The sequence below is a fragment of the Homo sapiens genome, chromosome 10 (assembly GCF_000001405.40).
Source record: "Homo sapiens chromosome 10, GRCh38.p14 Primary Assembly".
Classification (NCBI taxonomy): domain Eukaryota; kingdom Metazoa; phylum Chordata; class Mammalia; order Primates; family Hominidae; genus Homo; species Homo sapiens.
In genome coordinates, this window is record NC_000010.11 from 68,423,050 (window position 1) to 68,436,178 (window position 13,129).

The window sequence follows — 13,129 nt, forward strand, 5'->3', positions numbered from 1 at the left end:
AATTTTTTTCTACAAATTAAAAATAATCAAGTAAACTTTCCAGACACTATTGAACAATGCTCACATTTGGATATTTCCCAGTGGAAATCTGGAACATTCAAGAGGTAATAAGTTAGTTCTTTTTTTGTTTGTTTGTTTGTTTGTTTAATGTCAACCAGGACTTTGCTTCTGGGAAGATGGAGTACTTTTCCTTATTCTTTCCACAAACGACAACTAAAATCCCTAGGCATTATATATAAAAAAAAAAAACAAAAGAAGACTCTGAAAGGTGGAGAGAAGGCAGACCAGCTAGGGAGCTCAGGACCAAAGAAACAACACAGTAGTTGATTCCCTGGGCTTTCTTTTTGCCTCATAGATCCCAGATTTGGAACTGAAGGAGCCACGGCACACCAGTGGGTGCTAAAAACAGCTGCAACCAAAGTCTGCTCTCTCCAGCTGAAGGAACAGGAAAAGGAAAGCCTAGCTAGACAGAAAACTTTCACACAATAACTACTCTAGCCAAATATCACTGGAAAAAAAGTACAGCCCCACAACCACAGACACCAGCAAACAGGGAGGAGGGTAGATCTCTGCCCTTCTCAAGGCTGTAACAAGGTGCCCCACACCCCACCAGGCGGGTGTCAGAGAAAGCCAAGTAGGGAGTCAGGTCTTTCATCCCCGATGACTGGTAACTGGCACCAACCCCACATGTTAGTAGAGACCACATCAGAAGCCTAGACTTCCACCCCAACCAAGTGGGCCCAGCGGTAACGAGGAACCTCCCACTTTGGTCAAAGAAGGCTGAGTGGGGAACCCACACTTCGACTCCCACCTGGCAGGAATGAGGTGGTACCCCTCTTCCCCTACCATGGCAGTGTGAGAGGAAGCCAGCTAAAACAGAAGTTTTCAGTAACAACAAAATATGCTCATGTTTCAATAAAAAAATCAATAATTAAAGACGAACCAGGAAAATCTCAAACTCAATGAAAACAGATGACAATCTATAAATGCCAACACCAGAATGACAGAGAGGTCAGAACTATCTGACCAAGATTTTAAAGCAGCCACGGTAACAACATTTAATGAGTAATTATGAACACGCTTGAATATGAACCAAAAAACAAAGTCTCAGCCAAGAAATAGAAGATAGAAAGAATAAAATGGAAATTTTAGAACTAAAAATATGATAACTGGGCCAGGTACAGTGGCTCACGCCTGTAATCCCAACACTTTGGGAGGCCAAGGTGGGCAGATTGCTGGAGCTCAGGAGTTTGAGACCAGCCCGAGCAACACAGCGAAAACCGGTCTCTACAAAAAATACAAAAATAAGCTGAGTATGCTGGCATATACCTATAGTCCCACCTACTTGGAGGGCTGAGGCAGGAGGATCACTTGAGCCAAGGAGGTCGAGGCTGCAGTGAGCCTTGATCATGCCACTGAACTCCAGCCTGGGTGACAAAGTGAGTCACTGTCTCAAAAAAAAAAAAAAAAACAAAACAGGCCTGAGGCCGCCGCTAGCCGGAGCATCACCATGAAGTTCAATCCCTTCGTGAACTTGGACCGCAGCAAAAACCGCAAACGTCACTTCCATGCCCCCTTGCACGTGCACCGGAAGATCATGTCATCCCCGCTCTCCAAGGAGCTGCGGCAGAAGTACAATGTCCGCTCCACACCCATCCGCAAGGACGACGAGGTCCAGGTAGTTCAAGGACACTACAAAGGTCAGCAAATTGGCAAGGTAGTCCAGGTGTACAGAAAGAAAGATGTCATCTACACTGAGCAGGTGCAGCGTGAGTAGGCCAACAGCACAACCGTCCACGTGGGTACTCACCCAAACAAGGTGGTTATCACCAGGCTAAATCTCAACAAGGATCGGAAAAAAATTATTGAACACAAAGCCAAGTCTCGACAAGTCAGAAAAGAGAAAGGCAAATATAAGGAGGAACTTATTGAGAAAATGCAGGAATAAATATAACCTGTTGTGCAACCATGGTTTAACTGAGATTTTTAGGCTAGTGTGTGTTTCTTTGGAACTTTTCAGAATGTCTCTGGAACATTTCTTTTTTTTTTTTTTTTTTTTTTTTGAGACAGAGTCTTGCTCTGTAGCCCAGGCTGGAGTGCAGTGGCATTATCTCGGCTCACTGCAACCTCCGCCTCCCAGGTTCAAGCGATTCTCCTGCCTAAGCCTCCCGAGTAGCTGGGATTACAGGTGCCTGACACCATGCCCAGCTAATTTTTTGTATTTTTAGTAGAGGCAGGGTTTCACTATGTTGGCCAGGCTGGTCTCGAACGCCTGACCTCGTGATCCACCCGCCTCGGTGTTCCAAAGTGATGGGATTACAGGCATGAGCCACTGGGCCCGGCCATGTTTGTGTTCTTTTTTTTTTTTTGAGATGGAGTCTCGCTCTGTCTCCCAGGCTGGAGTACAGTGGCGGCGATCTCGGCTCACCGCAAGCTCCGCCTCCCCGGTTCACGCCATTCTCCTGCCTCAGCCTCCCAAGTAGCTGGGACTACAGGTACCTGCCACCATACCCGGCTAATTTGTTGTATTTTTAGTAGAGACAGCGTTTCACCGTGTTAGCCAGGATGGTCTCCATCTCCTGACCTCGTGATCCGCCTGCCTCGGCCTCCCAAAGTGCTAGGATTACAGGCGTGAGACACCGCGCCCGGCCATCTCTGGAACATTTCATTTCCTGTTTTGTTACCTGAGGCTCTGTAAATCTACTTTTGCAAATTTAATTAATAATTTTATAAATAAAAATGGGAAATGTTTCATAATTCAAAAAAAAAACAAAAACCCCAAAAACCCAAAAAACAAATACCAGGCCAGGCGCTGTGTCTCACACCTGTAATACCAGCACTTTGGGAGGGCAAGATGGGTGAATCACTTGAGGCCAGGAGTTCAAGACCAGCCTGGCCACCACAGTGAAACCCTGTCTCTAATAAAAATACAAAAAATTAACCAGGCATGGTAGTGCATGCCTGTAGTCCCAGCTACTTGGGAAGCTGAGGCATGAGAACCATCTGAACCTAGGAGGCAGAGGTTACAGAGAGCCAAGATCGGGCCATTGCACTCCAGCCTAGGTGACAGAGGAAGATTCTGTCTCAAAAAAGAAAACCTTCAGCATCTGGGGCTAGACAGAGTTCTTAGACTTGAGACCAAAAGTATAATCTATAAAAGGAAAAAATGTATATTCCGGACTTCCTCAAAAAAAAAAACCTTTTGCAGCCGGGCACAGTGGCTCACGCCTGTAATCCCAGCACTTTGGGAGACTGAGGTGGGCGGATCACCTGAGGTCAGAAGTTTGAGACCAGCCTGGCCAACACAGCAAAACCTCATCTCTATTAAAAATACAAAAATTAGCCAGGTATGGTGGCTCATGCCTGTAGTCCCAGCTACTTGAAAGGCTGAGGCAGGAGAATCGCTTGAACCTGGGAGGCAGAGGTTGCAGTAAGTGGAGATCACACCACTGCACTCCAGCCTGGGTGACACAGTGAGAGTCTGTCTCAAAAAATAAATAAATAGGCCGGGCGTGGTGGCTCACACCTGTAATCCCAGCACTTTGGGAGGCCAAGGCAGGCAGATCACAAGGTCAGGAGATGGAGACCAACCTGTCTAAGAGACGGTGAAACCCCGTCTCTACTAAAAAAATACAAAAAATTAGCCGGGCATGGTGGTGGGCGCCTGTGGTCCCAGCTACTTGGGAGGCTGAGGCAGGAGAATGGCGTGAACCCGGGAGGCAGAGCTTGCAGTGAGCCGAGATTGTGCCACTGCACTCCAGCCTGGGCGACAGAGCAAGACTCTGTCTCAAAAAAATAAAATAAATAAATAAATAAAACTATCTTTTGTTCTGCATAAGACCCTATGAGGAGGATAAAAAGCAAGCGATAGAGTGGGAGAAAATACCTGCAAACCACATATCCATTAAAGGGCTAGTATTAGAATATACATTTTAAAAATTCTCAAAACTCAACACTACAAAGCATATAATCCAAAATGGGCAAAAACATGAAGAAGAGATACAGATGACAAATAAGCACATGAAAAACTCATTATGGGCCAGGTGTGGTGGCTCAAGCCTGTAATCCCAGCACTTTGGGAGGCTGAGGCAGGTGGATCACCTGAGGTCAAGAGTTCGAGACTAGCCTGGACAACATGGTGAAACCCCGTCTCTACTAAAAAAAAAAAATATGTGGCGCATGCCTGTAATCCCAGCTACTTGGGAGGCTGAGGCAGGAGAATCACTTGAACCTGGGAGGCAGAGGTTGCAGTAAGCCGAGTTCACACCACTGCACTCCAGCCTGGGCAATAACGTGTCAAAAACAAAAAAAAAACCCCACCACATTATGGCTGGATGCAGTGGCTCACATCTGTAATCCCAACACTTTGGGAGGCAGACAGAGGTGGGAGGATCATTTGAACCCAAGAGTTCAAGACCAGCCTGGACAACATAAAAAAATTGAAAATATTAGGCAGGCATGGTGGTACATGCCTGTATAGTTCTAGTTACTCAGGAGGCTGAGGCAGAAAGATCACTTGAGCCCAGAAGGTCAGGGCTGCAGTGAGGCGTGGTCTCACCAGTGCACTCCAGCCTGGGCAACAGAGCAAGACCTTGTCTCAAACACACACACACACACACACACACACACACATTTTAACTGGGTAAATGCAAATTAAAATCTCCAAACACCTACCAAAATGGCTAAAATTAAAAATAGTATCAGCTGGGCACGGTGGCTCATGCCTCTAATCCCAGCACTTTGGGAGGCCAAGGCGGGTGGATCACGAGGTCGGGAGCTCAAGACCAGCCTGGCCAACATGGTGAAACCTCGTCACTACTAAAAATATAAAAAATTAGCCAGGCGTGGTGGCGCATGCCTGTAATCCTAGCTACTCAGGAGGCTGAGGCAGGAGAATTGCTTGAACCTGGGAGGCAAAGGTTGCAGTGAGCTCAGATCGCACCACTGCACTCCAGCCTGGGCGCCAGAGCCAAACTCCATCTCAGAAAAAAAAAAAAGCCCGGCACAGTGGCTCACGCCTGTAATCCCAACACTTTAGGAGGCCGAGACAGGCAGATCACAAGGTCAGGAGATTGAGACCATCCTGGCTAACATGATGAAACCCCATCTCTAGTAAAAATACAAAGAATTAGCTGGGCGTGGTGGCAGGCGCCTGTAGTCCCAGCTACTCGGGAGGCTGAGGCAGGAGAATGGCATGAGCTGGAAGGCGGAGCTTGCAGTGAGCCAAGATTGCACCACTGCACTCCAGCCTGGGGGACAAAGCGAGACTCCGTCTCAAAATAAAAAAAAATTGTATCGCCACCAAATGCTGAGGAGATCACTCATACACGTGAAATGTTCCTGCTTAGAAAAACAGTTTGGCAGATTAAAAAAAAAAAATGAACATGCAACTACCAATCAATCCAGAAATTGTACTACTGGGAATTTATCCCAGGGAAATGAAGACTTATGTTACGCAAAAACCTGTAACATGATTGTTTACAGCAGCTTTATTCACAATATCCAAAAACTGGAAACAATCCAGATTTTCAGAGGGTGAATGGTTAAACACAATGCAGTACATCCATGCTATGGAAAAATACTTGGCAACAAAAAGGAACAAACTATTAATACGTACAACTATCTGGGGGAAGCTCTGGAGAATCAGGCTAAGTAAAAAACACCAATCCCAAAAGGCTATTGCATTTACTTAACATTCTCGAACGACCAAATTATCGAAATGGAGATCAGAGTCTCAGAGTCATGGCTGTCAGAGGTTAAGGAGGGGTAAGGCAGGAGAGTGGATACAACTATAAAAGTGCAACATGAGGAATCTTGTGGTAATAGAATAGGGACTGTATCAATGTCAACATCCTGGGTGTGACATTGTACTACAGACTTGCAAGATGTCACCACTGGATAAAGGGGACACAGGCTCTCTCTAGTATTTCTTACAACTGCATGTGACTCTACAATTACCTCAAAGTAAAATGTTTAATTTAATAAAAATGTTAACCAGATATACATCTTAGCCAGTTCTAAATTTATCAATAACAGGGACAGATATTAGACAAAAATATGCTAGCATTAGACAAAGGAGGTAAAGGAACACTCTATTAAATCTAATCTTTGGGAAATTTTTTAAAGACAAAAATATCAGTTAAGCCAGGCACTATAGCCGCGCCCATAATCCCAGCTACTTGGTGGAAGGTTCAATTAAAAAAAAAAAAAAAAAGCCGGGCGCAGTAGTTCACGCCTATAATCCTGGCACTTTGGGAGGCCGAGGCAGGAGGATAACCTGAGGTTGGGAGTGCGAGACCAGCCTGACCAACACGGAGAAACCCTGTCTCTACTAAAAATACGAAATTAGCAGGACGTGGTCAGGCATGCCTGTAATCCCAGCTACTTAGGAGGCTGAAGCAGGAGAATCGCTTGAATCCGGGAGGCAGAGGCTGCTGTGAGCTGAGATGGCGCCATTGCACTCCAGCCTGGGCAACAAGAATAAAACTCCGTCTCAAAAAAAAAAAAAAAAAATTAGTCAGGCGTGGTGGCGGGTGCCTGTAGTCCCAGCTACTCGGAAGGCTGAGGCAGGAAAATGGTGTGAACCCAGGAGGCGAAGCTTGCAGTGAGCCAGGATCGCGCCACTGCACTCCAGCCTGGGTGACAGAGCAAGACTCCATCTCAAAAAAAAAAAAAAAAAAAAGAAAAAAAAATCTGTTAAGAACTCCCAGTATAAATAAACATTAAATAACAAAATAAAATAAAAATTAGATTCTATATAAAAGCCTAGAGATAGTTATCACAAGACTATTAAGTACCATTGTTTCTAATTCAAACTTACTAAAAAACCCGGATTTTTTTTTTTTTTTTTTGAGCTGGAGTCTTGCATTGTCACCTAGGCTGGAGTGCAGTGGCGCGATCTCTGCTCACTGCAACCTCCGCCTCCCAGGTTCAAACGATTCTCCGTGCCTCAGCCTCCCAAGTAGCTGGAATTACAGGCGCCCACCACCACGCCCGGCTAATTTTTTTTGTATTTTTAGTAGAGACAGGTTTTCACCATGTTGGCCAGGCTGGTCTTGAACTCTTGACCTCATGATCCACCCACCTCAGCCTCCCAAAGTGCTGGGATTACAAGCGTAAGCCATCGCACCTGGCTGAAACCCTGATTATTAGTAGTTTCCTAGGATATTTGAAACTAGAAGAGAGCCCTAAATAATAAACCCAAAACCTTATTTCAGATCAGAAGGAAATAGCAAACTATAAGTTAATAAACTGGTCGTATAGTACATATAAATTAATCATGTGCAAATCCAGTCAATGTGACTAAATTTCCCAGAGTACAGTTTCTCCCCTCATTCTGGCTGTGGACATTAACTGTTAGTATTATTATACAATAATTGTGCTTACTTGACTATTGTAGAGTTCTTCTAGAAGAGCTAAGGATTTAATGGACTTTGATCTGCAAATTTCTTGCTCTGTAAATTGCTGGATAGCTGGATGAACCTTCTGAATCTGACCCAAACGCAAAAATCCTATTTTAAACTTGGCTAACTTCAAAAGAATATTGTCAACAGCAGAGTGTGTATAGCTGGTCAACAAAACGCTAAAACCACAGGCGTAGAGAATTCTTACCTAATAATGGGTAAGAGAAAAAAGAAAAAACAGCCTTACTTTTAATTCCAGATAATTTTTAACATGTTTATAAACTTAACAAGAACCATATCTAAGAGCTGAGCCAAGTAAAAATTATGAAGCCAAAACATTTTACAAAAATTACATGACATTATTATACGTTATTAATAATATGTCAATAATACATCATAGGCCAGGCATGGTGGCTCACACTTGTAATCCCAGCACTTTGGGAGGCTGAGGCAAGTGGATCACTTGAACCCAGAAATTCAAGACTTGCCTGGGCAACAAAGTGAGATGCCATCTCTTTTTAAAAAATTCTTTTTTTAATTAGCCAAATGAGGTGGTGCGCCCCTGTGGTCCCAGCTACTTGGGAGGCTTAGGAACGAGGACTGTTTCAGCCCAGGAGATTGAGACTGCATGAACTGTGATCATGCCACTGCATTCCAACCTGGTCTCAAATACCAATCCCCCTGACTTGGACTCCCAAAGTGCTAGGATTACAGGCATGATCCACCTCGCCTGGCTCACGTTAACAAGACTCCATCTCAAAAAAAAAAAAGAAAAAGAAAAGAAAAAAAGAAATTTACTGACATGAAAAAAAAAATCCAAGAAAAATCTCTAACATCTTTTTTTTTTAGGATGGAGTTTTGCTCTTGTTGTCCAGATTGGAATGCAATGGCGTGATCTCAGCTCACTACAACCTCTGCCTCCTGGGTTCAAGTGATTCTCCTGCCTCAGCCTCCCGAGTAAAGCTAGGATTATAGGCGCATGCCACTACGCCCGGCTAATTTTTGTATTTTTAGTAGAGAGGGGGTTTCACCATGTTGGCCAGGCTGGTCTTGAACTCCTGACCTCAAGTGATCCGCCCGCCTTGGCCTCCTAAAGTGCTGGGATTACAGGCGTAAGCCACAACGCCCGGCCTCTAACATCATCTTTAAAGGGAAAGGAAAACATATAGTGATAAATATCACATACCACTAACGGAAAGCGATCTTAGAAAATTCTAAATGCGAGAAATCTACATGATTACAACTGTTTGTGCTTCAGCTTTACTATTTCTCATCATTCTAAAAAGTTCATTTGAAACAAAGACACTGAATTAAAATTCAGCCCTTTTGATATTCAATATTACATCCTCTGAACTGAGGAGAAGCTGATACAAATATTTTGTCTCTAAGCAGAAGAATAATAACCTTACGAGAGTACATATCGTAGTTGTTTTTCCTGTCCCAGGCATACCCACGATGAGTGTGTAGTCTTTTGAAAGAAGTACCTTTTTCATCGCTTGCCTCTGAGGCTTATTCAAACCTACATTTAAATTCAAAAATAACAGGAAAAAGAGTGTTGAATTTCAAAGGAAAAGTTAATTATTTCATAAGAAAAGCAGTCTCTATCCAAGTCTATTCTTCAATACAAAACCATTTCCAAAGAGTCTTGGTCTAAACATTGTAGTTGCAAGTCTAATCAAGATATTAGACTACAGTATAAATCAAATAGAAACAAGAAAAATTAATCAAAGCAGACATGGTGATTTTAGCATACCCTTTAGAATGCAGGCAACTGTATCCTTTGCATCATGTGGAAGAACAGAACTAAGGTAGGATATAAACTGAGGTTCACGAAAGTCAATAATTAAATCTCGAAGTTTTTTGCTGAAAAGTGAAAAAGCACTTTTAGTAATATTCCTTAGAAAAGTGGAGTGAAATTCAAATTTGCTCATTGTTACAAACCTGACAAACGTGTTTTCCATCAATTTGGAAAGATTTCCTAATGGGGTATCTATATCACAATTTTTTTCTTCTTGGTCTAATCTGAACAAAGTTGATTCTGGAAGGACCGACAAGTTTCTAAAACAACAAAACAAATATACATGAATGCTCGCCATTTCGCATAGTCTGTATAAGAAATATGCTGCTATCTGCTAAAAGAATGAATGGGCCAGAATAGCTATTAAAATAGCTACCAGCCCTCAGTCACACTTGCCAATCAAGGACAGCATGAGGCCCTGGATTGGTGGGAAAAGGCAGAGGGAAGGGGAAGGTCCAAGGCACCAAGGTCAAAGCAATTAATAATTGGGAACCTGCAACATTTGCTGAAAATTCATTTACCCTTGCAGTCGAACACGGGTTCACCATCCCCAGAGGGATCCTGAATGCATGGCTCTTCCTTCCTCTAACCTGGAGTGCAGGCTTCTTTTCTGCCACCTTCTCCCTGTCTTCTATCTGTCCCTTAAGCTCTGGTATTCCCTAGAGTCCCTTCCCTGGTTCATTGTACTACTCTTTCTCATTGTTTGCTCCAGGGTCCCAGGCCCTCACGTGCCTCCAAATTCCAAATTCCATCTTTAGGCCTGACCTCACACTCCTCTCCTACCTGGTTCCTCACCCAAGCTTTGGGTTTGGATATTTAGTAGGCAGTGAGATCTCTCCACTTAGCTAAACCCAGGCTGTGAAAGCACAGTACTTTCAAAGCAGAACTCCTCCTCATCCCTGCTGAACCTGATGCTCCTTCTCTGGTCCTGATCACAGTTAATGGCATTGGCATTTGCATTTGCACTGCCATCTTGATCCTTCCCTCTCCCTCATCCTCTCCCCAACCCACACACCCAATCAGTATCCAAATGCCAGCCACTTTTACTTTCTAAATACTTCTCAAAGTCATTCCATTCTCTCTGCCAACACTACCCTGCCTCAATTTCCTCTAGCCTGGGTCACTGCAACAGCTTCCAGGTTTGCTTTTAGTTTTTCTTCCATTAATGAACTCAATTCTCTACAATGTAGCCAGAGGAAAATGCAAATCCAATGATTACCCACTCTTCTGTTTAAAACCTTTCAATACAATTCTATTTATTCAATAGAATAAATAAAATCTAAACTTTTTTTCTTTTGAGAGAGGGCCTTGTTCTGTTGCCTAGGCTAGAGTGCAGTGGCATGATCATGGCTCACTGTAGCCTTGAACTCCTGAGCTCAAGCTGTTATCTCACCGCAGCCCCCTGAGTAGGTGGGACTACACGTGTACACCACCACACCTGGCTAATTTTTTAATTTTTTGGAGAGATGGGGGTCTCACTATGTGGCCCAGGATGGAAAACTTTTTAAAATGATACGTAAGACATTCTATGACCTGATCTAATTACTCTCTTCCTTATATTTTATATTCTAGAAATAACGTAATTACCTGCATTATCCTGAATGCTCCATGTCACACTACATCACACGTTTGTGCAACAGGTTTGCCCAGTATAGTATTCTCTTCTCACACTGTTTCACCAGACTAATTTATTAATCCACAGGATGAAGATTCAGAATTAGCTCTTCGAAAAGGCTTCCCTTGGGCTGGCATGGTGGCTCACGCCTGTAATCCCAACACTTTGGGAAGCTGAGGCAGGAGGATCACTTGAGATCGGGAATTTGGGACCAGCCTGGACAACATAGTAAAACCCTGCGTCTACTAAAAATATAAAAATTAGTCGGGCATGGTGGCACACGCCTATAATCCCAGCTACTCGGGAGGCTGAGGCAGGAGAATCGCTTGAGCCTGGGAGGCAGAGGCTGCAGTGAACTGAGATCGTGCTACTGCACTCCAGCCTGGGCAACAGTGAGACGGTCTCAAAAAAAAAAAAGCCTTCCCTGAACCTCCTAAAATTGAATTAAATACCTCTCCTCTGTGTTCCTATCAATTTGAACACATATCAGATTGAAAATAAGCTGGGTGTAGTAGCTCATGCCTATAATGCTAGCACTTCAGAAGGCTGAAGCAGGAGGATCACTTGAGCCCATGAGTTCAAGACCAGGCTGGGCAACGTAGTGAGACCCCCCCCATCTCTACAAAAAATTAAAAAATTAGCCAGGTGTGGTGGCATGCACCTGTGGTCCCAGCTATGCAAGAGGCTGAGGTAGAAGGACTGCTTGATCCCAGGAAGTCCAGGCTGCAGTGAACTGTGATCATGCCACTGTACTCCAGCCTGGGCTGGAGTGAGACCATGTGTCAAAAAAAAAAAGAAAATATGTATGTCTACACGCAAGACCATAAATTCCTCAAGGATTTGCAAAGTGCTTAATACATGGTAGACACTAAATAAATACTGCAAAGGATACACAAATCCAAGCAGACAACTGGAATATTGTGGATCACCATCCCATGTCATGACATCTAGACAAGGGGTGGTTATGACTCAACTAAGATTACTGATCAGTAGGGAACAAGCCTGGACATTTCCATTACAGTTACTCAGATGTCAATGAGTCCCAATTGCTGACCTCTATCCATTAAGAAATGGTCGGGCATGCCCGTATTAACTGTAAGAAATGCTGGAAAACACAATCCATCTGACTGTGAAAGAGGAGGGAATATGGATTATTCGTGAATATGGATATTGGTCTCTGCCACAATTTTTTTTTTTTCTTTAAGACAGGGTCTCACTCTGTCACTCAGGCTACATGCAGTGCAGAGGTGTGATCTCAGCTCACTGCAGCCTCAACCTCCTGGGCTCAACTGATCGTCCCACCTCGGCCTCCACAGTACCTGGGACTAAAGACATGCACCACCTCCTAATTTTTGTATTTTTGGTAGAGACGAGGTTTTACTTATGTTGCCCAGGCTGGTCTCAAACTCCTGGTCTCAAGCGATATACCCACCTCAGCCTCCCAGTGTGCTAGGATTACAGGCGTGCACCACCTTGCCTGCCCATATTTTCCTATCAATTATTCTACTATTAATATTTTTATTTAGGCCAGGCGTGGTGGCTCACAAGGTCCAGCCTAAATAAAAATATTAATAGTAGAATATACATACACATATATATATATATTTTTAGACAGAGTCTCACTCTTGTTGCCCAGGCTGGAGGGCAGTGGTGCAATCTCGGCTCACTGAAACCTCTGCCTCCGGGTTCAAGCGATTCCCCTGCCTCAGCCTCCCAAGTAGCTGGGACTATAGGCATGTGCGCTACCATGCCCAGCTATTTTTTTGTATTTTTAGTAGAGACGGGGTTTCATCGTGTTAGCCAGGATGGTCTTGATCTGACCTTGTGATCCGCCCAACTCGGCCTCCCAAAATGCTGGGATTACAGACGTGAGCCACCACGCCCCGCCTATATATTTTTATTTAAATCAGCCATTTTGTTGTAACTGAAATGGGTATACTTATATCACAACTATAAATGGGAAAAATAAACATTTTTATTTAAAAAAGGAGAGAACAAAATAGTCAGTGCCCAGCATGCAAGGAGAAATAAGCATTATAGCTAACACAGGGTGGCATCTATGCTGTCTGCTATACATGTGGTTGTAAGAATTAGATAAGATTATGTCCACATCATCACTATGGAACATAATGTACTAAACAAAACTTTAGCAGTTTGGTAGTTCCTCAAAATGTTAAACATGAAATTAGCACATGACCCATGCCTAGGTAACTACAAAGAAAATGAAAGTATGTCTACCTAAAACTATGCATGTCAATGTTCATAGCAATATTAATCATTACAGCAAAAAAGTGGAAACAACTCAAATGTCCA

General features: G+C 43.6%; 1 protein-coding gene and 1 pseudogene across 5 annotated transcripts in view, besides 4 other annotated features; one reads left to right on the plus strand and one right to left on the minus strand.

The window, feature by feature from the left end:
• DNA2 (DNA replication helicase/nuclease 2) overlaps positions 1-13,129 on the minus strand; it is a 58,458-nt gene that overhangs the window by 8,986 nt on the left and 36,343 nt on the right. For 4 of the 5 annotated variants that reach the window (XM_006717680.3, NM_001080449.3, XM_017015799.1 and 1 more), the window contains 4 exons: positions 9,345-9,461; positions 9,157-9,266; positions 8,813-8,922; positions 7,387-7,611 (listed from right to left, as the gene is read on the minus strand). In XM_006717680.3, the coding sequence (XP_006717743.1) occupies positions 7,387-7,611; positions 8,813-8,922; positions 9,157-9,266; positions 9,345-9,461 (562 nt within the window). Of the gene's footprint in view, positions 1-7,386; positions 7,612-8,807; positions 8,923-9,156; positions 9,267-9,344; positions 9,462-13,129 lie in introns of all 5 variants that reach the window. The other variant, NR_102264.2, reaches the window with a different exon arrangement.
• RPL26P29 (ribosomal protein L26 pseudogene 29) lies at positions 1,511-1,948 on the plus strand (annotated as a pseudogene).
• Positions 9,998-10,167: an enhancer, noted in NCBI's record as "experimental_16656 CRE fragment used in MPRA reporter constructs". NCBI's record gives its function as "activates a minimal promoter by MPRAs in K562 erythroleukemia cells, with activity observed for both the introgressed and non-introgressed 10:70192889 variant alleles {active_cell/tissue: K562}" and the evidence as "EXISTENCE:reporter gene assay evidence [ECO:0000049][PMID:34662402]".
• Positions 10,426-10,595: an enhancer, noted in NCBI's record as "experimental_16661/16662 CRE fragment used in MPRA reporter constructs". NCBI's record gives its function as "activates a minimal promoter by MPRAs in K562 erythroleukemia cells, with activity observed for both the introgressed and non-introgressed 10:70193317 variant alleles {active_cell/tissue: K562}" and the evidence as "EXISTENCE:reporter gene assay evidence [ECO:0000049][PMID:34662402]".
• Positions 10,426-10,596: a biological region, named in NCBI's record as "Neanderthal introgressed variant-containing enhancers experimental_16661/16662 and experimental_16666/16667".
• Positions 10,427-10,596: an enhancer, noted in NCBI's record as "experimental_16666/16667 CRE fragment used in MPRA reporter constructs". NCBI's record gives its function as "activates a minimal promoter by MPRAs in K562 erythroleukemia cells, with activity observed for both the introgressed and non-introgressed 10:70193318 variant alleles {active_cell/tissue: K562}" and the evidence as "EXISTENCE:reporter gene assay evidence [ECO:0000049][PMID:34662402]".